General features: G+C 42.6%; 1 protein-coding gene and 1 long non-coding RNA gene across 6 annotated transcripts in view; both read left to right on the top strand.

Moving 5' to 3' along the window:
* EVC2 (EvC ciliary complex subunit 2) overlaps positions 1 to 26,576 on the top strand; it is a 180,538-nt gene that overhangs the window by 144,315 nt on the left and 9,647 nt on the right. For 4 of the 5 annotated variants that reach the window (NM_001166136.2, XM_017007736.2, NM_147127.5 and 1 more), the window contains one exon: positions 2,119 to 2,795. The exons of the other annotated variant lie outside the window; for it this stretch is intronic. In NM_001166136.2, coding sequence (NP_001159608.1) covers positions 2,119 to 2,386 — 268 coding nt within the window. In that variant the 3' untranslated portion in view covers positions 2,387 to 2,795. Of the gene's footprint in view, positions 1 to 2,118; positions 2,796 to 26,576 lie in introns of those variants that run through there. 5 annotated transcript variants of the gene reach the window in all.
* On the top strand, positions 15,343 to 26,236 carry LOC124900166 (uncharacterized). The gene is made up of 2 exons (XR_007058006.1): positions 15,343 to 22,688; positions 23,485 to 26,236. It is a non-coding gene; the product is annotated as an uncharacterized LOC124900166 (long non-coding RNA).

Genomic DNA, 26,576 nt, shown 5'->3' with positions numbered 1-26,576 from the left:
GGCTGGGGAGGGGGTGAGCTAAGCTGCCTGTGGGCCAGGCTGGGGAGGCAGGAGGTGACAAGGAAAGGAGGTTGCTGCAAACAGACAAAGATTTGTGACCCTGAAGACCACAAATCTTTATTCAGTGGGCTGAGTTTAGAAGCTGAAGATGAGCTTGTGGCTAGCAGTGAGAGAATGTTCTCAACATTTATTAACATTTACATTCTGTATTTATTTTAGCTAATGGCTATTTTTAATGGAATGTAATTAGAAGAATTCCTTATAGCTACTGTTCACAAAGCCCTTTCATGTCTTGCTGCATTGAGCCTTCCAGAAAGTGGGGATGATAAAATGGAAGCTCAGGGAGGTCAGAAGAGGCCCCAGGCCAACAGCTGGTAAACAGTGGTCATGAGATTTGGGGCTGCCTCACTGCCCCCTTTATTTTCTTAAACTTCCAGGCTTGCGCTCTTTACCTTCACCCCAATGCCTTTTTCCTTGGCTGTGGCTATCACACACCTACAGACAGAGGGAAGTGAGGGGCAGAGTGGTCTCAAATTGCTGCAAACCATTGTCCAATGTCTTCTGTGATTCCAGCTAGAGAAGATGTGGAAACAAAAAGCAACATCAGGTAGATTCATAAGGGGTTAAACAGTGATATCAGTGTGTAGTCCAGAAACAGTGGCTGTTCAACGGACATGTCTACCTCAGTCCTGCCCCTTCCACAATTTCTCAGAGCTCAGTTGAAGGTGCTGAGACCGAGCTTCATAGATTACTCATGATAAAGCGCTTGGAACCATTAGTAGCCTGGTTATCACAATATAGTCTCAGATAAGTTAGATCAGGATATTGGCCAAGAGAAGTACATGCAATCCTAGAAAAAGAAAATTAAATTCATTCTATAGAACTCTAAAATATTCCATTAGGAACATTCCTAGGCTGCACTAATAGAAGTGGAGTGGATACAGATCAAGAGACATGATGGTCCCACTGTCCTGGCTCACTCTGCGGGCCTTTGCTCTGCCTAGAGGCACCATGGTGGAGACACAGAGCTGGGTTTGAATCCTTGTGCAGACTTAGTAGCTCCAAGGGCAGTAATTAGTGGTGATGGCAATGGAGTGGAATCTACCACATGCCTTCTGGGAGGGTCAGCAAGCCTGCCGTTGACATGCAGCAGGTGCATCCCCAGTGACATGGCCTTGTCCTGCCCTGCTTGGGCAGAGAGAGAGCGCTGTGGCTTTCAGGATGTATAGGGCTCTTGGTGGTCGTCACGATCATTATCAAGAGCAGCCTGGGAGTCAGGGGTTGGACTGCCCATGGCCAGGATTCCAGCAGCTTTTTTATGGGACATTCTCAAAGTGTGCCACACTCTTCTATGGCAAACGCATTTTGCCTGACTTCTAACTGTTGCCTTGTAACCAGGTTTCATTAGCCTGCTTTTAGAGTGAGGCTCATAGGTGTACTCATAAATGTTTAACAATTGGCTTGTGGGGAGGGGGGCAGTGGTTTCTGATTTGTAGCATTTGCCAGTTTCCATGGTGTAAATATTCCCACCATGGCTGATCTGATGTCACACTAACAACATGATGACAGTGGGCTCGCAAAACTCCTGAAAATGGGCCGGGTTTGGTGGCTTATGCCTGTAATCCCAGCACTTTGAGAGGCCGATGTGGGCGGATCATGAAGTCAAGAGACCAAGACCATCCTGGCCAACATGGTGAAACCCCGTCTCTATTAAAAGAAATTAGCTGGGCATGGTTGCACGCGCCTGTCGTCCCAGTTACTCAGGAGGCTAAGGCAGGAGAATCACTTGAACCTGGGAGGTGGAGGTTGCAGTGAGCCGAGGTTGTGCCATTGCACTGCATCTGGGCAACAAGAGCGAAACTCCATCTCAAACAAAACAAAAAACTCCTGAAAATGGAATGGTCATGAGCCAGGAAGAGTTGACTACAGCACACCACTGTTACAGGCTTCAGCTAATTTTACAGCAATCTGGTGACCAAGGGGGAAAATAACCTTTTGTTAAAATGGCACTGGGTTGGGGAATTCAGGACCCAAGGAGGGATTCTCTTGGAGAACTCAGAACACTCCAGAGGGTTCATTGCCAAAAATATTGAATTTGATCTTTTGCTATTTCTTTAGCATATTAAAGAAGACATGTCTCCCTCTCAGAGAGAGGATGATATTCTCTGGAAAAGGAAGTTGGCCACACCTGTCACTGGAGCCCATTGGCGAACTGGCCCCTGTACCCATTGTAGGGGCAGAAACCATTGATCTATTAAACACAGGAGAGAAGCTCTTTATATTCAGAAATCCAAAGGAGCCAGAGATCTCACTGCACGTTCCTCCCAGGAAAAAGAAGAACTTTTTGAATGCCAAAAAGGCCATGAGGGCCTTGGGCATGGACTAGCCCAAGGGAAAGACCTGCGGGAGCATCTGAAGAGAGAAGGGATGATTTTCTCCTGCCCGCCGGTGTTTGTGTGTTTATAATGCACAACTCGCAAATATAAATTGCACATGCAGAAGGCACAGACCCCGTAGCGCATGCCAACTTGCAGGGACTCGGTTTAATCTTGTCTCATGAATTTCCAGATGGCCCACTCTCTTCCATATCACAAGGACATAAACACTCCTTCTTTCAGCCCCACCTCCCCAGGGCCCTGGAGGAGACCCCCACCCTGCAATCCACACCCCATCCTCTGCTGCAGAAGCTATGGTCTGTGTGGTGACAGCCAGATTCTCTACTCTTATGTTTTGTATTTGTTACATATTCTATTTTTATAAAGGGAATTTTAAAAAATAAATGTGTTTTGCACAAAGCTGTTTATTACAAAACCCATGTTTGCTTTATGTAGGAAGCATTTATTTGAAATTACGTCTTACGTTTTGTTCCCTGTGTGGTGTTCAATAGAGAGATTCGCCCTCTATCGCTCCAGTTGCCAAAACATGTGTCAGCCCCTGGGGTCTACCGTCACCAGTTCAAATCAGGGTTATCTTCCCATTTTACAAATGAGGAAATTCAATGGTATGGAAAACTGAAGTGATTTTTACAAGATCATAAAGCTCATAAATGGCAAAATCAGGATTCACACTTCATGGCCCACAAACCTTATCCTTTCTCCTGGCCTTGATCCATGGACACATAACAGCCCTCACACAGTTACCTATAAACAGACTCCATACAAGTGCTTGTGTTTTACCAAGAGCTTGTGTAAATGCTGACCCTTCCCATCCACACAGCAGTGCCTGAGGCCAGTAATATCTCACTGGGGCTGGGCCACATCATGGTGTCAGCCGGGCAAATAATACAATTACAATGGGTATTCTCTGACAGTAGGGGATGATTAGGATGAGAGTCCTCTCACCAGCAAGGGAAAAAAGCGATGACTGATAAAAAATCAAACATCTGTCATATGAGAGTTGCTGCTAGACCCTTCCAACAACTTTAACCTACTTTTTAATGATCACTAGTACCCCAGCAAGGTGAGTATCCCTATTCCCATTTTACTGCCAAGGAAGCTGAGACTCAGAGTTTAAATAATTTGCCTATGATGAAACCACCTATATGGGAGGAATCCTCAATTTGAACCTGAGTCTTCTAACTAAAATGCTTATCTGCCATGGATGTCCCTTTTCCATGGGCAACCAGAAGACCAAGTCTTATTTGCAGTTTCCCATCAGCATGCATGCAGCACCCCAACAAGTACCTTCGCTGGGGTTGCACTTCTCCCAGGGGACAGCAGCTGTGCACCGTTTTCAGCTGCCACTTGACTGCATGACTGCATTGGTAGAAAGGTGCAGGTAAGCAGTTTGAATGCAGGAGAGAAGAGATGATGGCGCCAGTTTTCCCATCCATCAGAAGGTCCAGTGGGCCTCGAGTGAGAACAGAGAAAGTGGAGTGATTTTTACACACAGGACAGCAGAGTGGAGCATGCATGGTCTTGGGAATAAGCAGACTGGAGTTCAAATCCTGCTCCACTACTTAAGGGCCATAAGTTCTTGGGCAAGTAGATATAATTGAATCTGTAAAGTCCACCACATCTATGTTCTTCTCTACCTTTTTAAGGTAATTGTCTGCATTTCTGATAATTTCCTGCTTCTACAGGGGCTCTGATAGAATTATGCATAGTTGAAAGTAGATTGCATGCAAAAATTTCAAAAAATGGCTTAAAATTATAGGCTGAAGCCTGATTGAAGAGGCTGTTAGCAACAGCAGGAGGTGCCCAAGCTGCTCAAAATCTAGCATTTGAACCTAATAATAACTCCTTATGTTAATAGACAGAGAAAGACTAACTGCTGATTTACCTTTTGTAAACTCACTGCACAAAAAAATGCCAAGATGTGTTGGGGAAAGCCTGTGTTTCTGGAATCAGATAGACCAGGTTTAAACTGTGGCTCTACAACTTTTTAGCAGTCATTTTACCACTCTAAACTTCAGTCTCTTTATCTGTAAAACAAAGATCCTAATGTCGTACTTTACAGTAGGGACGTTGTAAAGAGTGAAGATACTAGATATTATGTCTGTAATGTCTGATGAAATGTTGGTGTGCAATAAGGTAGCTTATTTATTTTATTATATTTTAACATCTTTACAAAAATCCATCTGATATGGTTTGGCTCTGTGTCCCCACCCAAATCTTGCCTTGAATTGTAATCCTTATAATCCCCACGTGTCAAGGGCAGGACCAGGTGGTGGTAATTGGATCATGGGGGCGGTTTCCCCTGTACTGTTCTCGTGAGTGAGTCTCACGAGATCTGATGTTTTATAAGTATCTGGCATTTCCCCTGCTGGCAGTCCTTCTCCTTCCCACTGCCCTGTGAAGAAGGTGCTGTTCTTCCGCTTCGCCTTCTGCCATGATCGTAAGCTTCCTGAGGCCTTCCCAGTCATGTGGAACTGTGAGTCAATTTAACCTCTTTTCTTTATAAATTACCCAGTCTCATGTATTTCCTTACAGCAATGTGAGAATGAAGTGTTCTTTCATTCCTTTTGCCATTCTAGGTGAAGGCTGTTTTCTTGAAGGGCTGTATCTTCACACAGAAGCCTACTCATGAGAGAGAAGCTCCAAGGAACTTGGCTTGAGAGGACTTGAGCTCAAGTTTGGGGTTTGTTACTTACAAGCAGGGGCTCGGCTCCCTGTGTATTCTGTCTTTAAGGAGTTCGATCTAGTTGCGTTGACTAACACAAAAATAAATAATTGGTAAATGCAAGGTGTGAGACGCACATACGAAAATCCTGCCGTGGGAATTTGGGAGTGAGGTCAAACCTGGCAGGGGTCAGTTGGGGACAGCTTTGTGCTTACGACTCCCCCAGATTTCCACACTGCAGTCTTTGTAAGGAAGTCACTATGAGCAGCACACATTTAAGGAATGGGGACATAAGTCTACCTCCTTGAGGGCAAAGTGTCTACATAGATTATTTGGAATTCTGCATGGGAGATGATCTCTTTTCCATTTATTTTTTCAATTATTTATTTCTATCGGTATAGACTCATGGATATTTATTTTATACTTTGAGTTATAATCCAATAATAATTTGTTGCTCTAATTGTTCCAGCTTTCAACATTGGGAGCTCTTTCTGTTGTCTCCCATATCCCTTTAACATAACCCCGTCAGTGCAGATTTTTATGTTTTTCCGAGTACTTCCTTATTTTCTGGCACTAGAAGGTGGTCTAAAAGGTGAGCATTATAAAAGATGAGCACTAGAAAAGATTCGCATCGTTTATATTCCCTGTCCCAGTCCTAGAATCAGACATTTCTCCAAGGAGTCTGATTCCTTTTGTTGGAGAATGGTATTAGAAACTAAACTCTGAGCCCTAGTTGTGCTTATTGCTACTGGAGTATTGTTACTTCTAGGCCTCTAAGCTGACAGAGCAAGAAAATATACATGTACATACTAACCTGTTTATATACACATGTCCGTTAATATTTTCAATGTAATAATCTGTGTCTATATTATGCTAAATATGAATTTACTGATGTCTCCAACATGAATCCATTGCCCCATGGATCATTCTGGCTTTCTCCCGTTTTCTTTTTTATTATTTTTTTGAGACATGGTCTTATTTCTGTCACCCAGGCTGGAGTGCAGTGTACAATCACAGTTTACTGCAGCCTTGACTTTCCAAGTTAAGTGATCCTCATACCTCAACCTCCCAAGTAGCTGGGACTACAGGTGCATGCCACTGCACCCAGCTAGTTTTTGTTTGTTTGTTTGTTTGTTTGGTTTTGCAGGGATGGGTTCCCACTATGTTGTCCAGGCTGGTCTCAAACTCCAAGACTCAAATGATCCTCCCGCCTTGGTCTTGCAAAGTGCTTGGATTACAGGTGTAAGCCACCACACCTGGCCCTTCTCCTCTCCATTCCAACAGTGAAAATCGTGGCTCCCATCATTTCCCAGCCATTTACTTATGTGGTCAGTTCCAGTACATATGTGGAGCATTATCAGGGTTTTGATAACCTGGACCCATGTGGGAAACAACTTTCTCAGTAGAGTAGAGTACTTATGTGCAGTTTCTTTTGCATTTAAAGACTTCACTCATTTCCAAAGTTACTTAGGTCAGCATCTTTTTCTTCCAGCCTTTTCAGTAAAGTTGTTTCTTACATTTGAAATGCAGTTAGATTATTTTGACACATTCTGCATTGCTTCCTGGAATTCTCTGGATTTCTTAAATGATGTTTTTAATCTGCATATGATAAAGTCAATTTTGCATTGACATGGCATTATGTATTTGTTAAAATGATTGTATAATATGATACAAATTTGTATAAAATGATACACAATCATTTTGATAAGCATATAGTGCCATGTATCCACAATTACACTATCATACAAAGTAGTTTTACTACCCTAAACAACTTCCTGTGCTCCACACGTTCAATCTTTTACCTCCTCCACCTGGACCCCTGGCAGTCACTGATCATTTTACTATCTCTATAGTTTTGCCTTTTCTAGAATGTCCTTATAATTGGAATTTGTCAAAGGTCAGTTAACTATATTTGTGTGGGTCTATTTCTGGGCTCTCTGTTCTGTTCCAATGATCTATGCACCTGTTCCTTCACCAATACCACACTATCTTGATTACTGTAGCTATATAGTAAGTCTTGAAATTAGTATGAGTTCTCCAACTTTGTTTTTCTTTAGTACTGTGTTGACTCTGTAGATCTTTTGGCATTCCATATAAACTTCAGGATCAGTTTGTCAATATCTGAAAAATAACTTGCTAGAATTTTGATTGATATTCTATAGACCTATAGATTCTATAGGTCAGGTTGGGAAGAATTGACATCTCCACAATATTGAATCTTCCAAATCATGAATAGGAAATATTACTCCTCCATTTGTCTAGATCTTTTGATTACCTTCATCAGAGTTTTATAGCTTTCTGCATACAGATCCTGTACATATTTTTAGATTTAAACCTAAATTATATTAATTTGGTGGTATTTTAAATGGTATTTTTAACATTTCGAATTCCAGTCATTTATTTCTGTTATATAGGAAAGCAATCAATTTTTGAATATTAACCTTGTATCCTGCAACCTTACTATCCTCACCAATTAGTTTTGGGGGTTTTTTGTTTGTTTGTTTTTGGTCAGTTCTGAGATGTTCTATATAGACAATTATGTCATCTGAGAACAAAGACAGTTTTATTTATTCCTTTCCAATTTGTATACATTTTATTTCCTTTTCTTGTGTTATTACACTAGCTAGGATTCCCATATGATATTGAATAGAAGTTGTAAGAGGACATCTTTGCCTTATTCTTGATCTGAAGAGGAAGCATCCAATTTCTCATTATTTAAGTATGAGATTAGCTATAGGTTTTTTATGTATTTTTTATAAAGTTGAGGAAGTGCCTCTCTATAGTGTGCTGAGAGATTTTATCGTATGTGTATATTGAATTCCATCAAATACATTTCTGTATCAATTGATAGGATTTTTTCTTTAGCCCGTTGATGTGATGTATTCCATTAAATGATTTCAGAATGTTGAACCAGCCTTGCATACCTGGGATAAATCCCACTTGGTCATGGTGTATCATTCTTTTTATAAATTATTGGATTTAATTTGTAAATATATTTTTCAGGATTTGTTCATCTATGTTCATGTGAGATATAGGTCTCTAGTTTTCCTTTCTTGTATTTTCTTTATCTGTTTTTTATATTACAGTTATACTGGTCCTGTGAGTTAGGAAGTATTCTTTCTGCGTTTATTTTCTAGAAGAGATTATGGAAAATTGGTATTATTTCTTCCTTAAACGTTTACTAAAATTCACCAGTAAAATGATCTGAGTCTGGGGCTTTCTTTTCTTGGAAGGGTACCAATTATAGATTGTTTATTTAATAGATATGGTTTATTTAGGTTATCTCCTTCACGTTGTGTGAATTTTTGTAGTTTGTCTTTCAAGGGATTCATTCATTTCACCTAAGTTACCAAAATTATGGGCATAGAGTTGTTCACAGCATTCTTTTATGATGCTTTTACTGTCCATGGGATCAGTAGTGAGACTGCTCTTTCATTTCTGATATTGGTAATTTTCATGTTTTCTTTTTTTTCTTGGTTAGTCTGGTTAGCTGTTTGTCAATTAGATTGATGTTTTCAGAGAACCAGCTTCTGGTTTCATAAAATGTTTTCTATTGTTTTCATTTTTGCTGACTTTTGCTCTATTTTTTATTATCATTTTTTTCTGATTGCTTTGGCCTTAAGTTACTCATTTTTCTTTAGTATCCTAAGGTGGAAGTTTAGATTATTAATTTTAGGTCTTTATTCCTTTTTTAATATATGCATTTAATAGTATAAATTTCCCTTTAGGCACTACTTTAACTGCATTATACAAATTGGGATAAGTTGTATTTTCATTTTCATGTGGTTCAGAATATTTTTACCATTCTCTTGAGACTTCATTGTCCCATGTGTTGTTTAGAAATGTGTTATTTAATCTGAATATATTACGCTATATTCTGTTTATTTCCCTTTATTGATTTCTAGTTTAATTCTATGGTGATCTGAGAGCATATTTTCTATAATTGCTATTATTTTAAGTTTGTCTTTTTTTTTTTTTTTTTTTTTTTTTTTTGAGACGGAGTCTCACACTGTCACCTGGGGTTAGAGTGCAATGGCACGATCTTGGCTCACTGCAACCTCTGGCTCCTGGCTTCAAGCAATTCTCCTGTCTCAGCCTCCCAAGCAGCTGGTATTACAGATGCCTGCCACCATGCCCGGCTAATTTTTTGTATTTTTAGTAGAGATGGGATTTCACTATGTTGGCCAGGCTGGTCTTGAACTCCTGACCTCGTGATCCGCCTGCCTCAGCCTCCCAAAGTGCTGGGATTACAGGAATGAGCCACCACACCCGGCTATTAAGTTTGTCGTTATGTGGCCTATCTTGGTGAATGTTTCAACCAAAGTTGAGATGATTTTATATTCTGTACTTGTAGAAGAGATTATTCTGTAACTGTTAGATCAAGTTGATTGAGAGTGCTATTCAGGCCAACTATGTTCTTACTGATTTCTTGCCTGCTTGATCTATGAATTACTGAAGGAGGGCTGTTGGAGTTTCCAACTATAGTAGTGGATTTGTTTATATTGAATTTGCATATATTGTAAAAAATATTGTGTATATTTTTCCTTGCAGTTCTTTCATATTATGCTTATATATGGTGATGAATTGATCCCTTTACCATATGTATTCCCTTCTTTTTCCTTGTTAAATTTCCTTGTTCTGAAGTCTGGTTTGTCTCAAAGCAATACAGCTATCCCAGCTCTCTTTTAGTTAGTGTTAGCAAGGTATATCTTTCTCCATTCACTTACTTTTAACTAACTTGTCTCTGTTTTTATAATTAGAGTGGGTTTCCGGTAGACAACATATATTTGGATCCTTTTAAAAAATCCATCTGACAATCTCTAATAGATGTTTTTAGTCCATTCACATTTTAAGTGCTTATTAGTATAGTTGGATTAATATCAGCCATGTTTGCAAGTGTTTTCCATTCACTGCTGAATTGCTTGTTTCCCTCCCTTCCCTTTTTCTCCTTTCTCTGGTTTTGATTAATCATTTTCTCTTACTCTATTTTATCTCCTCTCTTAACATATCAATTATACTTAAAATGACTTTGGTGGCTATACTTATTTCCCTTTTATCCCCTTTTATATATTGACCTTCTACTATGGAGATGATGACCCAACTCTCCTTACACACATGCATGTGCAGAGACACACACACACACACACACACACACGCTTCCTCTCTCTAGTTATCTAATGCAATTAAAGCACAATTTTAAGTAAATATTTGGCATTTACAACATTAATAACTAATAATTTTTATATTTAGCTGAGCCATATAGTGCATTTGAATTAAATACATTTCCTTCTTTGTGTAACTTTTTGTTTTTCTTAGAGTTAATAGTTGGCTTGTATAAAAAGGACTCATCTTTTGGAGATGCACACAAATATTTATGGATGAAATTATATGTTATCTGGGATTGGCTTCAAAATACTCTGGAAGGGCTTCTGGCTATGATAGACTTAATGTATTCCCAGTCTTCTCTGTCTCCAGGCTGTGACCTTCACAAGTGTTTCTTAGCTTCTCCTCACTTCCCTCAAGTGAGACAGGAAAGACTGAGGGGGCTGGAGCCAGGAAAATGTCTTCCCTCTGGTGGTGTGCTGGGGAAGGGGATAAGGTCATGCAGATGCTTCAGACTTACACAATGCTTGCTTTTCTACTCTTTCTCCCAGAGCCACTAGGGGATCTTTCTTATCTCTCTATCATGATCATCTGGTGAGGTTGCTATAGGTAAAACCAAACAAAGTGTGAGGGACTCCCTAAGACTATAGGCCCTTAGTTTCTTCCTGAACTTCTAACATTTCTTACAGGGCAAGTTATGCGAGTCTACTTTCAGCCCTCAGCAATTCATCAAAATGACCATGAAGGTTTCTTACTGGTTATGGTTCCAGCAGCTTCTAACTCCAGATAAGCAGGTCACAGCTGTGACGCTATAGATGAGCTTGTCTTTCCAGATTTGGAGGTAGTGGTTGGCTTTGTGGTCTCAGTTCTCGGATGGGTCCAAGAAAAGACACTGATTTTCAGTTTTCTCAACTTTTTCCTTGTCCTATGAGTGAGAGCACCAACTTCCCAGCTCTTAACATGTTGGGACTGAAACTGGAAGTGGCGTGTTTCCTTTTTCTGTCTTCCGTTTCTCTCACTGTCATGTTCCTATTTTTTCCTCCAGTTTTGGTATATGGCAATGCATATGTGTTGTTGCAATGTCGTCACTTGTGAATTCTTTCATTTCTGTCATTTCCGGGTCAGTTACTGTTGATGAACTTTTGTTATGCATATGGGTCATCTTTTCCTGCTTCTTTGCATGCCTGGGGATTTTTTATTGCATGCATACATTGCAGTTTTACATTATTGGGTGCTGGATTTTGTTAGATACTTGTAAATAGTTTTGGATTTTGTTCTGGCACGCTGTGAGGTCAGTTGGGATCAGTTGAATTGTGTAAGGCTTTATTTTTTCTTTTAACAGCTTGAGATATAATTTACATATTCTAGAGTTCACCCATTTAAAGTGAACACTTTAGTATATTGACAGAGTTGTGCAATCATAACTATAATCTAATTTTTGAAAAATTTTATTACTCCTCCAAAAATCTTGTATCTGCTTATAGTCACTGCCCCAAAACTTCATGTTCCTGCCTACCTCCACCCCAGCCATAGAGACTTTCTGTCTCTACAGATTTGTTGAGACTTGGTTTTTAGCCCTTGTCATGGTTAAGTCCAGAGTTCATGTATTCCCACTATTAAGGCAGTGATATGGTTTGGGTCCATGTGCACCAAATCTCATGTTGAATTGTCATCCTCAATGTTGGAGGTGGGGCCTGGTGGGAAGTGATTGGATCATGGGGGATATTTCTCATAAATGGTTCAGCACCATCCCCTTTGGTACTGTCCTCACAATAGCGAGTGAGTGCTCGCAAGATCTGTTTGTTTAAAACCACCCACCCCCCACCAACTCCACTTGCTCCTGCTCCTGGCATGTGAGACATGCCTGCTTCCCCTTCTCCTTCTGCCATGATTTGGTTTCCTGAGGCCTCCACAGAAGCTGAGCAGATGCCAGCATCATGCTTCCTGTATAGCCTGTGGAACCATGAGCTAATTAAGCCTCTTTCCTTTATAAATTACCCAGTCTCGGGTATTTCTTTATAGCAATGTGAGAAAGGACCAATACCGGCAATATCCATCACAGGACTCTAGCTGATCTATCACACACCAGAGGGAAGATGAAATATTCCTGGCTGTTTGTGAACTTTGGGAATTGCTTGGAACTACTGTATCGTGCCTCTTTTCCTGCTCTGATAGTTTCCTCTCTGTATGCACAGATCATCACTCAAAGACTTATGGAAGCCCTTCTGTTGCTATCTAGTGTTCTTTGTCTCTCTACCTCGGCTTCCTCTTCAGTATTCTGTCTCATAAATTCTAGTTGTCTCAGTTCATTGTCTGTCTCCTCAGCTCATCTAGACCTGCGGACTCTGTTTGGGTTTCCCCTGCTTGATCTGCAGCCTTAAAATTGCCTCCAGGCACCAATCAAAGGCAACTGTGGTTGTGCTTCATTTATTCATGGTCCTGTGCCATCTGTTGCCTGTCTGTGAATAGCTGTTCCCTATAACTTGGCCAGCTCTCTAGTTGTTTAAGTTGGGAGTGTAGATTCAGCCTCTGCGACTCTATCATAGCCAGGAGCCCTTCCAGGGTATTTTGAAGTCAATCCCAGATACCTTATAATTTCATCCATAAATATTTGTGTACATCTACAAAAGATAAGCCTTTTTTATACAAGCCAGTTATTAACTCTAAGAAATAGAAAAAGGTACACCAGGAAGGAAATTTAATTCAAATGCACTATATGGCTCAGCTTTAAATAAAAATGTATTAGTTATTAGTTATAATGTTGTAAATGCCAAATATTTACTTAAATTGTGCTTGAATTGCATTAGATATCTGGAGAGAGAGGAAGAATGTATATGTGTGTATATACATATAAGAAGGAGAGTTTAGTCCTCATCTCCGTAGTAGAAGGTCAGTATGTAAAATGGATAACAAAACACTGAGAAGTTACAAATGTTCCTTTAGAAATATAAATGTTAAAATCATAAGAAATAGCTAAACAAATGAAAGTACTTGTTTCTGGAAAAAGGAATGAGGGGTGTATTACCCTATTTTCACGCCGCTGATAAAGACATACCCGAGACTGGGTAATTTATACAGGAAAAAGGTTTTATGGACTTACAGTTCCACATGACTGGGGAGGCCTCACAATCATGGCAGAGGGAAAGAGGAGCAAGTCACATCTTACATGGATGGTGGCAGGCAAAGAGAAAGAGCATGTGCAGGGAAACTCCTGTTTTAAAAATCATCAGATCTTGTGAGACTTATTCACTATCACAAGAACAGCACGGGAAAGACCGGCCCCCATGATTCAATTACCTCCCACCGTGTCCCTCCCACAACACGTGGGAATTCAAGATAAAATTTGGGTGGGGACATAGTGAAACCATAATCATTCCCCTGGCCCCTCCCTAATCTCATGTTCTCACATTTCAAAATCAATCATGCCTTCCCAAAAGTCCCCCAAAGTCTTAACTCATTTCAGCATTAACACAAAAGTCCACAGTCCCAAGTCTCATCTAAGACAAGGCAAGTCCCTTCCACCTATGAGCCTGTAAAATCAAAAACAAGCTAGTTACTTGCTAGATACAATGGAGGTACAGGCATTGGGTAAATACAGCCATTCCAAATGGGAGAAATTGACCAAAAGAGAGGGGCTACAGGCCCCATGCAAGCCCAAAATCCAGCAGGGCAGTCAAATCTTACAGCTCCAAAATGATGTCCTTTGATTCCATGTCTCACATCCAGGTCATGCTGTTGCAAGAGGTGAGTTCCCCTAGTCTTGGGCAACTCTACCCCTGTGTCTTTGAAGGGCACAGCCCCCCTCCTGGCTGCTTTCATGGGCTGGCATTGAGTGTCTGCAGCTTTTCCAGGTGCATGATGCAAGCTGTCAGTGGATCTACCATTCTGGGGTCTGGAGTACAGTGGCCCTCTTCTCACGGCTCCACTAGGTGATGCCCCAGTAGGGACTCTGTGTGGGTGCTCCAACCCCACATTTTCCTTTCACACTGCCCTGGCAGAGGTTCTCCATGAGGGCCCCACCCCTGCAGCACACCTCTGCCTGGACATCCAGGCATTTCCATACAATTTCTGAAATCTAGGCAGAGGTTCCCAAACCACAATTTTTGACTTCTGTGCACTCACAGGCTCAACACCACGTGGCTGCCAAGGCTTGGGGCTTGCATCCTCTGAAGCCACAGCCTGAGCTCTATGTTGGCCCCTTTCAGCCATGGCTGGAGCAGCTGGGATGCAGGGCACCAAGTCCCTAGGCTGCACACAGCATGGGGACCGTGGGCCAGGCCCACAAAACCACTTTTTCTTCCTAAGCCTCCAGGCCTGTGATGGTAGGGGCTGCTGTGAAGACTTCTGACCTGCCCTGGAGACATTTTCCCCATTGTCTTGGGGATTAACATTGGGCTCCTCATTACTTATGCAAATTTCTGCAGCTGGCTTGAATTTCTCCACAGAAGATAGGATTTTCTTTTCTATTGCGTTCTCAGGCTGCAAATTTTCCAAACTTTTATGCTCTGTTTCCCCTTTAAAACTGAATGCCTTTAACAGCACGCAAGTCACCTCTTGAATGCTTTGCTGCTAGAAATTTCTTCCGCCGGATACCCTAAATCATCTCTTTAAGTTCAGAGTTCCACAAATCTCTAGGATAGGGGCAAAATGCCACCAGTCTCTTTGCTAAAACATAACAAGAGTCACCTTCGCTCTGGTTCCCAACAGGTTCCTCATCTCCATCTGAGACCACCTCAGCCTGGATTTCATTGTCCATATCATTATCAGTATTTTGGTCAAAGCCATTCAACAAGTCTCTATGGAGTTCCAAACTTTCCCACATTTTCCTGTCTTCTTCTGAGCCCTCCAAACTGTTCCAACATGTCTGATACCCAGTTCCAAAGTTGCTTCCACATTTTTGGGTATCTTTTCAGCAGCACCCCACTCCCAGTACCAATTTACTGTATTAGTTCATTTTCACACTGCTAATAAAGACACATCCGAGACTGGGCAATTTATACAGGAAAAATGCTGAATAGACTTACAGTTTCACATGGCTGGGGAGGCTTCACAATCATGGCAGAAAGCAAGGACGAGCAAGTCACATATTACATGGATGACAGCAGGCAAAATGAGTTTGTGCAGGCAAACTCCCATTTTTAAAACCATCAGATTTCATAAGACTTATTCACTATCACAAGAACAGCACAGGAAAGACCAGCCCCCATGATTCAATTACCTCCCACAACATGTGGGAATTCAAGATTAGATTTGGGGGGATACAGCAAAACCATATAAAGGGAAGGAAGAGTGAGCAGGGCCTGTTGTCTTATGCCATAAAATTCATTCAGTTATTTACTTCTAAACTTTGGATATGCATTACTTTTATTAAAAACCTCAAAGTCCTTGGTATTTGGAATCAGAATTCTGGGTTCATTCTCGGTTCTGTCACTTCTGTGAGAGGGTTTGACCTCACAGCTTCATTTTTCTTATTTGTAAAATGGAGACTGTATCACTGGCTAAGTAAGCGGATCGTGAAGATCAGAAAGACTAAATGTCCAATGATGAGCACATCAGCTGGAAAATGGGTAAATGCTTTAAATCACTATGAAGAAAATCTGTGTGGCAGAATGGGAGATGCACATGTGGGCATTGTCAGGGGACAGCCCCTGTGTTAGGCTCTGCTTAGCCCCTCAGACTACCTGTGAGACCCTGGACAAGTTCTTCAACCTCTTTACTACTCATTGTATTCCCCTGTCGAAGGAGGATATGAAACAATCCTCATCTTACAATTATTGCAGGGAGTAAAATAGAAAGCAAACTCCCGTACCCGGGTACCCAGTACAGGTTAAGTGCCTAATCAATGATGGCTAGTTGTGTTGTATTATTGATGAAATTATATTGACATTATAACAATATATCTTAATATAAAAATTGTAGGTTAGTTTTATTGTTGCTATTCAGTTTCAAAATTATGTTAATGAATATTTGATGACCTGAGAAAGCTTTAGTAAATAATGGTAATAAAAAAAGAAGCAGTATTAAATGATAGTACCCAGCCTTCAATCACTGTCTATTCAGGGAGGGAGGGAGGGAGGGACGGAAGAAAGAAAGAAAGAAGGAAGGAAGGAAGGAAGGAAGGAAGGAAGGAAGGGCTCTTGTTTTAGTAAGTGAGTACATATAAATAAAAACAACAAGGAAAGTAGAGCAAATGTTAGCACTGCTTGTCCCTGGAGGGTCATCTACAGGTGATTTTCTTTTATTTTTCCTTTGTGCCTTCTGTAGCTTCCAAATTTGTGTAAATGAATCTCTATTGCCTTTGTCATCAGATAAGAGCACAAAAAATGATATCTGAAATCACAGGTTTGGAATAGAGAAAATAATTTTTCATATTTTACCTTGTAATCATATTTCTGGCTTAGGGGTATCTAAAATCCATTTCACATAACAATAATCAACCACAAAATGATTCTTCTTAGCAATTATTGTACTTTTCTATGATTGGGTAAATTTTCTGCAGACACTCTCTGCATCAGATAAACATTGAGTTCCACTGCATGTAAATAGTAGTGATTTAAATAAAATATGTGTTTAATTTCCTCACATGTGACACACAACTTAGAAGTAGGCAAGGTGGGCTGGAGAAGAGCTCCACAATGTCATCAATGCCATCTTTCTGCTTGGTCATCCTAGATGCATGGCTTCCACCCTCAAGGTTGTCTCATGGTTTCAAGGTGGCTGCTGCAGCTCCCATCATTTCTTCCTCATTCCAGGTGAAGAGAAGTTTTGAGGGATCTTTGGGGTATCACTTTTCTGGCTGGAAATCTCTGTGGCTGGTGGCACCTTTGCCCAAGTTTTGCTTGGGCCTGCTGGGTTCATTTTTCCCACTTGTCCTGGCAGGCTGTGCTTGGCTCACACTACCAGCCTAGATCCCATGCCTGCCAAAGGCAGCAAGGCATGGAGTGGCAAGGGGTGTGTGAGTGAACCAGCGAGGGGTCCAGCCACCGTGCACAGTCAGGCACACCAGCTGCTGCAATGGGGTGGGCAGCTCCAGGTGCCGGCGTGGGCACCGACTCTCTGCGAGGCTGTGGCTAGACCAGGTGCACCACAGGTAGCTTCCATGGCTGCCACTGGGGAATGCGGTGGCACACGGAAGCTTGGAGAATCCAGGAACCACTGGGCCCCAAAGAGGAAGTCACAGCCTTGGCTCAGGGAGCTCCCAGGTCTGGGCTTACTGAAGGGCTGAAGCTCTTCTCTTCTCTTCAACCACAACATGGCGAGCAAGGGGTATGTTTCAGCCCTGTTTGTGTTATAGCTCTTTCAGCCTGCCTTCCGCAGGTCCCAAGTTCTTATCCTGCGTCCAAGAAGAATGAAGCACGCAGACAAGTGGAGGGTAAGCAAGGTGAAGAGGAGCTTTATTGAGTGACACAGTAGCTCAGAGGAGGCCCAGGAGTGGGTAGCTCCTCTCTGCAGCTGGTCATCCTGATGTCTGCTCAGCTTTGGCTGAACCTGGGGCTTGTATGGGCTTCAGAGGGGAGGAAGTGTATGCCAGTTGGTCCATGGATGGCCATGAATGGCCTGGAAAAGGCACCACAAGTTCCCACTCTGGTCCGTGGGACCGGCAGCTGGGCCCCCAGCCTACAGATCCTCCCTCCCTGAAGGAGGGCCTGAAGGTGGTGCCTCACTGGGGATCTGCCCCCTTCCACCCAGGAACCTCTCTGCCTCCTGCTGCCATTCATGGCGCCCAGGCTGTAGGTGCCAAGAGGCACCTGCAGGCCAGCCATAAGCTGCCTTCAGCACCCCTTTGGCTTCCCTCCTATGCTTATTGGTGTCCAAAGTCCAGAGGGGGCTGAGGCAGTGGGGGGCTGGCATGTCAGCACCGCCCAAAGTGTGTGCACACCTGGCGAAGCTGTGACTTGGCCCTGACTTTGCTCTGAGATCGGAGCAGGCACCAACAGCAGGGAGAAGCCAGGCAGTGGGAGCAGGCATTTCTGAGCCTGCAAGGGCATGGGGGCCTTCCTGGACCCCCAAGAGTGCAGAGATTCCTGAGTCTGCAGCTGTGGTTTGGGAGGCTGTAGCTGTGGCCACAGGGGTGGGGCTCCTGCCTGCTCCATGGAGTAGAAGGCCTGGTTCCACAGTCACAACTTGGGCAGCTGTGGCTGCACCAGGGAAGCTCCTTCCCCACCAATCTGGAAGGTGCAGGGCTCCCACTTGTCCCTGGCTCCCACCAGCTCCATGGAGTATGCCTCCTTGCTGCAGCCAGCATGATGGCAGCAGCCACTCTAGACAGGCTGCTGCTGCCATCAGATGGAGAAAGCAATAGAGCAAAGTGTAATAGCTATGTCAGTTCCCTTTTTTTTTTCAATTTTATTATTATTATACTTTAAGTTTTAGGGTACATGTGCACAACATGCAGGTTTGTTACATATGTATACATGTGCCATGTTGGTGTGCTGCACCCACTAACTCGTCATTTAGCATTAGGTATATCTCCTAATGCTATCCCTGCCCCATCCCCCCACCCCACAATGGTCCCTGGTGTGTGATGTTCCCCTTCCTGTGTCCATGTGTTCTCATTGTTCAATTCCCACCTATGAGTGAGAACATGCGGTGTTTGGTTTTTTGTCCTTGCGATAGTTTGCTGAGAATGATGGTTTCCAGTTTCATCCATGTCCCTACAAAGGACATGAACTCATCATTTTTTTATGGCTGCATAGTATTCCATGGTGTATATGTGCCACGTTTCCTTAATCCAGTCTATCGTTGTTGGACATTTAGGTTGGTTCCAAGTCTTTGCTATTGTGAACAGTGCCGCAGTAAACATACGTATGCATGTGCCTTTATAGCAGCATGATTTATAGTCCTTTGGGTATATACCCAGTAATGGGATGGCTGGGTCAAATGGTATGTCTAGTTCTAGATCCCCGAGGAATTGCCACACTCACTTCCACAATGGTTGAACTAGTTTACAGTCCCACCAACAGTGTAAAAGTGTTCCTGTTTCTCCACATCCTCTCCAGCACCTGTTGTTTCCTGACTTTTTAATGATTGCCATTCTAACTGGTGTGAGATGGTATCTCATTGTGGTTTTGATTTGCATTTCTCTGATGGCCAGTGATGGTGAGCATTTTTTCATGTGTTTTGTGGCTGCATAAATGTCTTCTTTTCCCTTTTAAGAGCTTTTCCAGAAGCCCCACTTAGTGACATCTTCTTGCAAATCATTTCCCAATTCTCCTCTCTTCCTCATCCCTGCAGCACCTTACCTCCTGTTGGACTAGAAAATGGATTTTTATTTGTAATGGTTTTTTTTGCCAATTTTGTTATTTGTGGTATAATCTTTATACTAAATCTTTATACAGAACTGAGTCCCATGACCACCCCAACTTGCAAGGGATGATAAGAAAGGTCATTTTAAATTGGGACTCTCTAGTATGATAGAAAGGGAGAAAGGGTTTGGGTAGGTAACTCGTCTCTGCCAAATTCCCATGTGGCCAGTAGGGAACCAGAGATGGTCCAGCCTCTTCTCTTGCAGGGAGAGGAAGCTCCTGTCTTCTGCATAGATTCCTGCTTCCTCCTGATAACTCTGTGTTTTGAGTAATGAATAATAATATCAGAAGCAAACATTACCTGTTACTGTTCTCATTTTTATATCTGAGGAAACTGGGCTCAGATGAGTAATTCCCTCAGAGTCACCAGCTTAGCAAATTCCAGAGTCAGGCTTCTAACTCATCTGTCTGACTCGGAAGCCTGTGTTCTTTCTAACACACCATACTGACTTCCCTGGCCTGAAAGTGGAATCATTATCTATTTATTCTTTCAACCATTTCTGTGTGTCATTTATTTATGGGCATCTAGTAGATATTCAGTAAATGTTTGTTCAATGGATGAATGAATGAATGAGCGAATGTCTCCTGGAGAGGAGCTCACTATCTACATGGGGACACAGATCCCATACAGGGCCATCTATAGGTGTTGTGAAGCATTGTGGAAGGAAGCCCCCTTTCTGGGAGTGCCTCAGGTAAACTACACGAAGAATAGAACGTTGCACCTGAGCCTGGAGGGCCGAGCAGCAGGCTGTGTCAGTGAAGGGTGTTGGAAGCAGAAGGAACAGCATGTGCTCAGGCTTGAGGTGCAGTGCCAGTGCTGTAGGGATTTTACTGTGGCTGGAGAGACAGGAGTGAGGAGGCTCTGAAGCTAAGGGAGCCAGGGTGGGCAGGGCTGGTGCTGGGGGCTGCAGGGCTGGATCTGTATGTCCTTGGGAGGAACAGGTTGAGAAACCGAGTTTTGATCTGTGGGTCCCAATCCTGAGCATCCAACGGTGGTCACTCACTCCATGTTTTCCCCACAGTATTGGTAACTCCTCACCCCCTCTCTTCTCTGTTTAGTTCTCTGTGATTCTATTTTTGGAGTTTACAAAGTGAACATCCAGTGTGATATGCGGAGAACTCTGGTGATTTGTCCTGAAGCTGTTTCATTTTTTTTGAATTATGGGAGTCTACTCTTCCCTCTTGGGGACCTGGGAGGATTGAACAGCCAAGGGCTTCCCACGGAGTCACTCTCAGCTCTCTGACTCCTGCACTGATTGTGTTGCACTTGTTTTGAAGGCTAATGAGTATGGGAGGTACCCAAACTTTCCACAGAATTGCACCTCTTGTGTGCGTGCATGTGTGTGGGGGGTAGCATGAGACGGATAATCAAATTATTTCCAGAGAAAATAAATTTGAATCTCAGAGGGCTCTGTGAAAGCAGGGACCAATCAATTCCTTCTGCTGTTGATCCACTATTTGACAACTTGCAGATAAAGGTTGTGAAAACAGAATTTTCTCTCTTTTTTTTTTTTTCCATAACAACTTCATTTCCATTTCTAGCCAACATTCATTTTGCAAAAAGCCTTAGGTTGTGGCCAGGTAAGCCCTGTCAAATTCAGTGATTTCCTAGTTAATTTTAGTTTAAACTCAGGTGACCGCAGGGTGTCTCCCTCCCTCTTCTCTCATAGATTTCAGTTTTCATGTGGCAAGTGGGTGTCTGGTGCCCAGTTCCACCGCGTGAGCACCTGGAGGTGCACAATTTGCCGACCTGATGTTCTGAGGTCGATCTCCTGTCCACTGGTCACGAGGGTGCCCACACTGTCACCTGTGCTTGGGTCTCCTCATGATGGCCCTGGAGCCCTCGGGCTTAGCTGAGACCTGAGGCCTGAGGCCTGCACCCCTTTCTGGGCACAAGAAATGTGCTATGCAGGGGTGGTGGATGCTGTGAGAGTGTCCTGCCCAGATGCCCCTCGCAGCCCTGGTGCCAACCCCACAGGGGCTGGAACTGCAATTAATAAGCAGGTACCATTTCCCTCTCCGGTTCCCCTGACCTCTTACCTACCTGGGGTTTCTATAATATTCCCTATTATCCCCCACCCCTATGGTTCTTCCTGGAGGGATTTGGTGTGGAACTCCTTCTGGAACACACTCCCATCAGCCCCTTTCCCGATTCTCCTCTCTTCCTCGTCCCCCTGGCACCTTACCTCCTGTTGGGCTAGGAAACTGGTTTTTATTTGTAATGTATTTTTGCCAATTTTGTTATTTGTGGTATACTCTGTATACTAAGAACCTCTCCCCACCAACTCCTAGGTGTGTGAAACACTTCGAACCCTGCAGGCTAGCCTCTTGCCGTTGAATGCTTTGGGCTTCAAAATTGTGTCTTCTATGGATTTCAAGAGCTTATTTTGGAAGTCAGTGGCTGAGAATTTAACCCTGATCTTCACTGTGTCATTAAGAAGGGAAGAGTGTGTTTATGGAGTGCTCCTGCCGGCTTGGGGTGGATGGTGATGGTACAATGTGGGTAGGGATGGGAGAGACTTTGGTTAGACCAGGATTGTATCCTGTTCCAGGTCAGGGAACCAAGAGAGCTTCTGGCAGTACCTGGTAGGGACTCCAGAGATTGGGTTAATTGAGTGGATGTCTGAAAAATGAGAACTTACCTGCAAGTTTGTCCCAAACATAGATGAGTTACCTCGGACTGAGCAGTGCAATCGTTGGAGCCTCTGTTTGCGTAATAGTAAGTCAGAAAAATACAGAATTCTGCTCTGCCCGCATCACTTAACAGTGTGGGTGGAGGGGAGAAGTGTGGGAGGACTTGTTTACATTGCAGGGCAGAGAAAATCATTGGTTACCGATGCTGCTGATCCTTTCAGTGGCCCTGGAACACCAAGGAAGGGCCTGGGAGAGCTGCTGTTGTTCCTATGAGCCCAGCTGTGGGCACACTGCGCTGACACAATGTCATGGCCCTCATGACGAGGATGACTTGGAGGAGCCAATCCTGACAACTGACCCTGTTGCCAGGGACTGTGAGTAGCACTTCATGTGTAATAACCGTGAATGCCTCACAACAGCTCTGCAAGGTCGGGTCTACTATTATCATCCCCATTTTATAGATGGGGAAACTGAGGCACGATCATCAAATACTGGGCACAGACTCTCCAGTGTGTAGGTGATGGAGCCAGGCTTAGAACCTGGGCAGTCTACTCCATGAACCTGCATCCTCCTCAGATGACAAGGGTGAGTTGTGGCCCCAGAGGGATGGGCCTCTTGGCCCTTTTAGGAGGTCCCCATCAAAGCTGTGGGCATTGGCAAATGAGGATTATTTTTTGAGACAGGGTCTCACTCCATTGCCCAGGCTGGAGTGCAGTGGCACCATCTCCACTCACTGCAGCCTCAAACTCCCAGGCTCAAGTGGTCCTCCCACCTCTGCTTCCTGAGTAGCTGGGACCACAGACATGCGCCACTATGCCTGGGTAATTTCTTAAAAATTATTTCTAGAGGTGGGGTTTCACCACGTTTCCCAGGCTGGTCTCAAACTCTTGGGCTCAAGTGATCCTCCCACCTCAGCTTCCCAAAGTGCTGGGGTTACAGGTGTGAGTGACCACACCCTACCTGCAAACAGGAAATCAGGGTGCCGGCATGGTCAGATACTGGTGAGGGCTCTCTTCCATGTTGCAGATGACCACCTTCTCATTTTATCTTCATATGGCAGGAAGGGCTAGCTGGCTCTCTGGCTTCTTCTTATAAGGCCCTATCCTTATGGGATGAGGGCCAAACCTCATGATCTAACCACCTACCAAAATTGCCACCTCCTGACGCCATCACATTGAAATTAGGGTTTCAACATATGAATTGAATTTGGGGAGGGGGGCACACACATTCAGTCCATTGCTCGGGACATAAACTCCGTGAGGGCAGGGACTGTGTCCTGTTCTCCACTATGTCTTATTACGTAGAACAGGCCCCGCCATGTAACTGCTTAATACATGTTGGTTGAATGAACGGGTGAATTCCTAATCATCTATTTTTACAGAAAAGGAAAACAAGGCTCAGAGATGATAACTGACCTGCCCAGAGTCACCAAGCTGGCGAGAGGCACTGCGAGGCCTGGGATGCCGAGTTTACATTGGCAAACACACCCATACACATCAAAAACCTTGCTTCAAGCCATGGTAGGAAGGTGGAGAGGCTGAGACACAAGGATGTGAAGTCCTTCCTGCATATTCCAAACATGTACGGAGGGAAAGGAAGCCACGTGCTTTCAAAGAAGCTTGGTTTCAACCTTTCTGAATCATCTTATTCCAGCACTCGCTCTCTTCAAGTCTCTGCTCAAACATCGTCTTTCACTGAGACCTGCCTGACCCCGTTCTTTGAAATAACTGCTTCCGAGCTTCCCTCTCACTGTGTTCGTCACCACTGGACGCACTCCCTATTGATCTGATGGGTGTTTATTGTCTGCAGCCTGGCGCTGGACTGTCAGCTCCATGGGAACAAAGACTTTGTGGGGCTTGATCTCAGCTGTATCCCCAGTGCCTAGAACAGTGCCTGGCACCTCCTAGGCAGTCAATGAATAGTTGTGGAATGAATGCAGATGAGTGAATCCGTGAAATTGCTTCTCTTTTTTGCCTACCCTGATTCCTCCCTTAAAAAGTCGTATTCTTACAGAGCAATGTTATCACTATAGTCACCTAACACTCTGCTGTCGGAAAAGGCCAGCGGCAGCTGGAAAAGCTAAAATTAAAATTTAAAAATTCATTAGCATGGATGAGTGTGCAATGATGGGGAATGCTTAGACCCTGGTTGAGGGAGGGAGCCTAAAACCTAAAGGGCTTCTCTGAAAAGAAGCTCTGCCTCCCCACAAGCTTGCCAGCAGTAGATGGTGTCCACGTTTTAGAATTCTGGCGATCTGATGGGTGAGACATTGTATTTTAAGGCAGTTAAAAAAACTGTATTGAGGTATAATTCATATATAATAAATCGCACATAGTTAAGATATACACTTTGGTGTGCTTTGAAATATGGATATGACTGTGAAACCATCACCACAATCAAGACAATGAACATCTCCATCCTCCCCCAAAATTTCCTTGTGGCCCTTGGTAAATTCCTCCCTCTAGGGCACCCCCTTGCCCACACCCAGGTAACAGCTTACCTGCTCTATCACTGTAGATTCGTTTGCATTTTAAAGCATTTTATATAAATGGAACCAAACAGCATATACTCTGACTTCTTTCACTGAACATAATTATTTTGAGTTTCATCCACATGTCGCATGTATCAATGGTTCATTATTTTAATTGCAGAGCAGTATGGATGTACCATACATTGTTTACACATTCACCTGTTGATGGAAATCTGGGTCGGTCTAGGTTGCAGCCATTACAAATAAACCTGCTGCAAACGTTTGTGTATGTATTTGTGTGAACATAAACTTTCATTGCTCTTGGATATATAGCTGGTGGAATGGCTAGAACATATGACAGGTGTATACTAAGCATTGTAAGAATCTGTCAAACAGCTTTCCACAGTGTTTGCACCACGTTACAGTCCACTAGCCATGGAGGGGAGTTCTGGTTCCTCCACATTCTCACACACCTTGAGTGTGGTCAGTCTTTTAAATTTTACTTATGCTAATAGTCAAGCAGCGATTTCTCTTTGCAGTTTTAATTTGGATTCATGTGTTTGTCTGCCAACCATTTGTCTTCTTTGGTGGAGTGTCTGGTTAGATCTTTTGGGTTGTTTATTTTATTATATTTGAGTTTTGAGAGTTCATTGTATGTTCTAGATACAATGTCTTTGTCAAGTATATGGATTGGGAATATTTTCTCCAATTCTGCAGTTTGTCTTTTCATTCTTTCAGCGGTATCTTTTGAAGAGCAGAAGTTATTAATTTTGATAAAGTCCAATTTGTCAACTTTTTCTTTTATGGATTTTGCTTTGGTGTCTAAGAAATATTTGCTCAACTCAAGGTCACACTTTAAAGTGTGTGTGTGTGTGTGTGTGTGTTTTTGTAGTATATGGTGCAAGCTATGAATCAAAGTTCCTTTCTCTTTGTTTGCACATGCAATTGTACAACATCATTTTTTGAAAAGACTGTTTTTTCCATGGAATTGAATTCCGCCTTTGTTGAAAATCAGTCATATACATATGAGTGAGTGTATTTATATATCTCTCTTCTGTTTAATTGATCTATTTGTTTATTTTGACACCAATAGCACCATTTCCTGATTACTGTAGCTTTATGATAAGTCTTAAATCAGGTTGTGTTAGATGTATATATTTTTTTCTTTTGCAAAGTAAGTTGTTTTGGCTATCATAGGTCCATTGCATTTCCATGCAAATTTTAGAATTACTTCTCAATTCTGACCAAAATATCCTGCTGTGATTTTGATTCAGATTGTGTCGAATCTATAGATCAGTTTAGGGAGAATTTACATCTTAACAAATATTGTGTCTTCCAATCCACAAATACAGTATAGCTCTTCATTTACTTAAATGTTTAAAATTTTCCTTCAGCAATGTTTTACAGGTTTCAGTGTACTTTTGTCAGATTCATCCATAAATATTAAGTATTGGAATACTACTAGTAATCACACTGCCTTTTAAAATTCCAGTTTCTGTTTTTTATTACTAAATCATAGAAATCCAATTGATTTTTGTTGGTTTAGTTGAATCTTTCAAGCTTTCTAGGCTTACTGATTAGCTTTAGTGGCTTTTTTGTGGATTCTATCAGGTTTTCTATTTAGACAACCATGGTGTTGTTGAATAAAGACAGTTTTAAATTTTCCTTTCCAATCTGAATGCTTTTTATTTCTTTTTCTTGCCTTACTTTACTGGCTAAAACTTCCAGGACAATGTTTAATGAGTTGGTGAGAGCGGATATAACCCACTAGTTTCGATTCGGTTGTTCACCATTGAGTATGATATTAGCTGTGGGTTTTTCGTGGATAACCTTTACTGTATGGAAGTTTCCCTTTATTCCTACTCTGTTAATGATTTTAATCAGAAATGGACATTGGATTTTGTCAAATGCTTTTTCCCCATTGAGATGGCCATATATTTTAGTTTTTCATCATTTTATAGAGTAAATTATATTGATTGATTTTTTAAAAAATATTAAATCAA

The sequence above is a fragment of the Homo sapiens genome, chromosome 4 (genome assembly GCF_000001405.40).
Source record: "Homo sapiens chromosome 4, GRCh38.p14 Primary Assembly".
Classification (NCBI taxonomy): Eukaryota; Metazoa; Chordata; class Mammalia; order Primates; family Hominidae; genus Homo; species Homo sapiens.
Note: the sequence above shows the minus strand (reverse complement) of the source record. Positions and strands in the feature narration are given on the sequence as shown.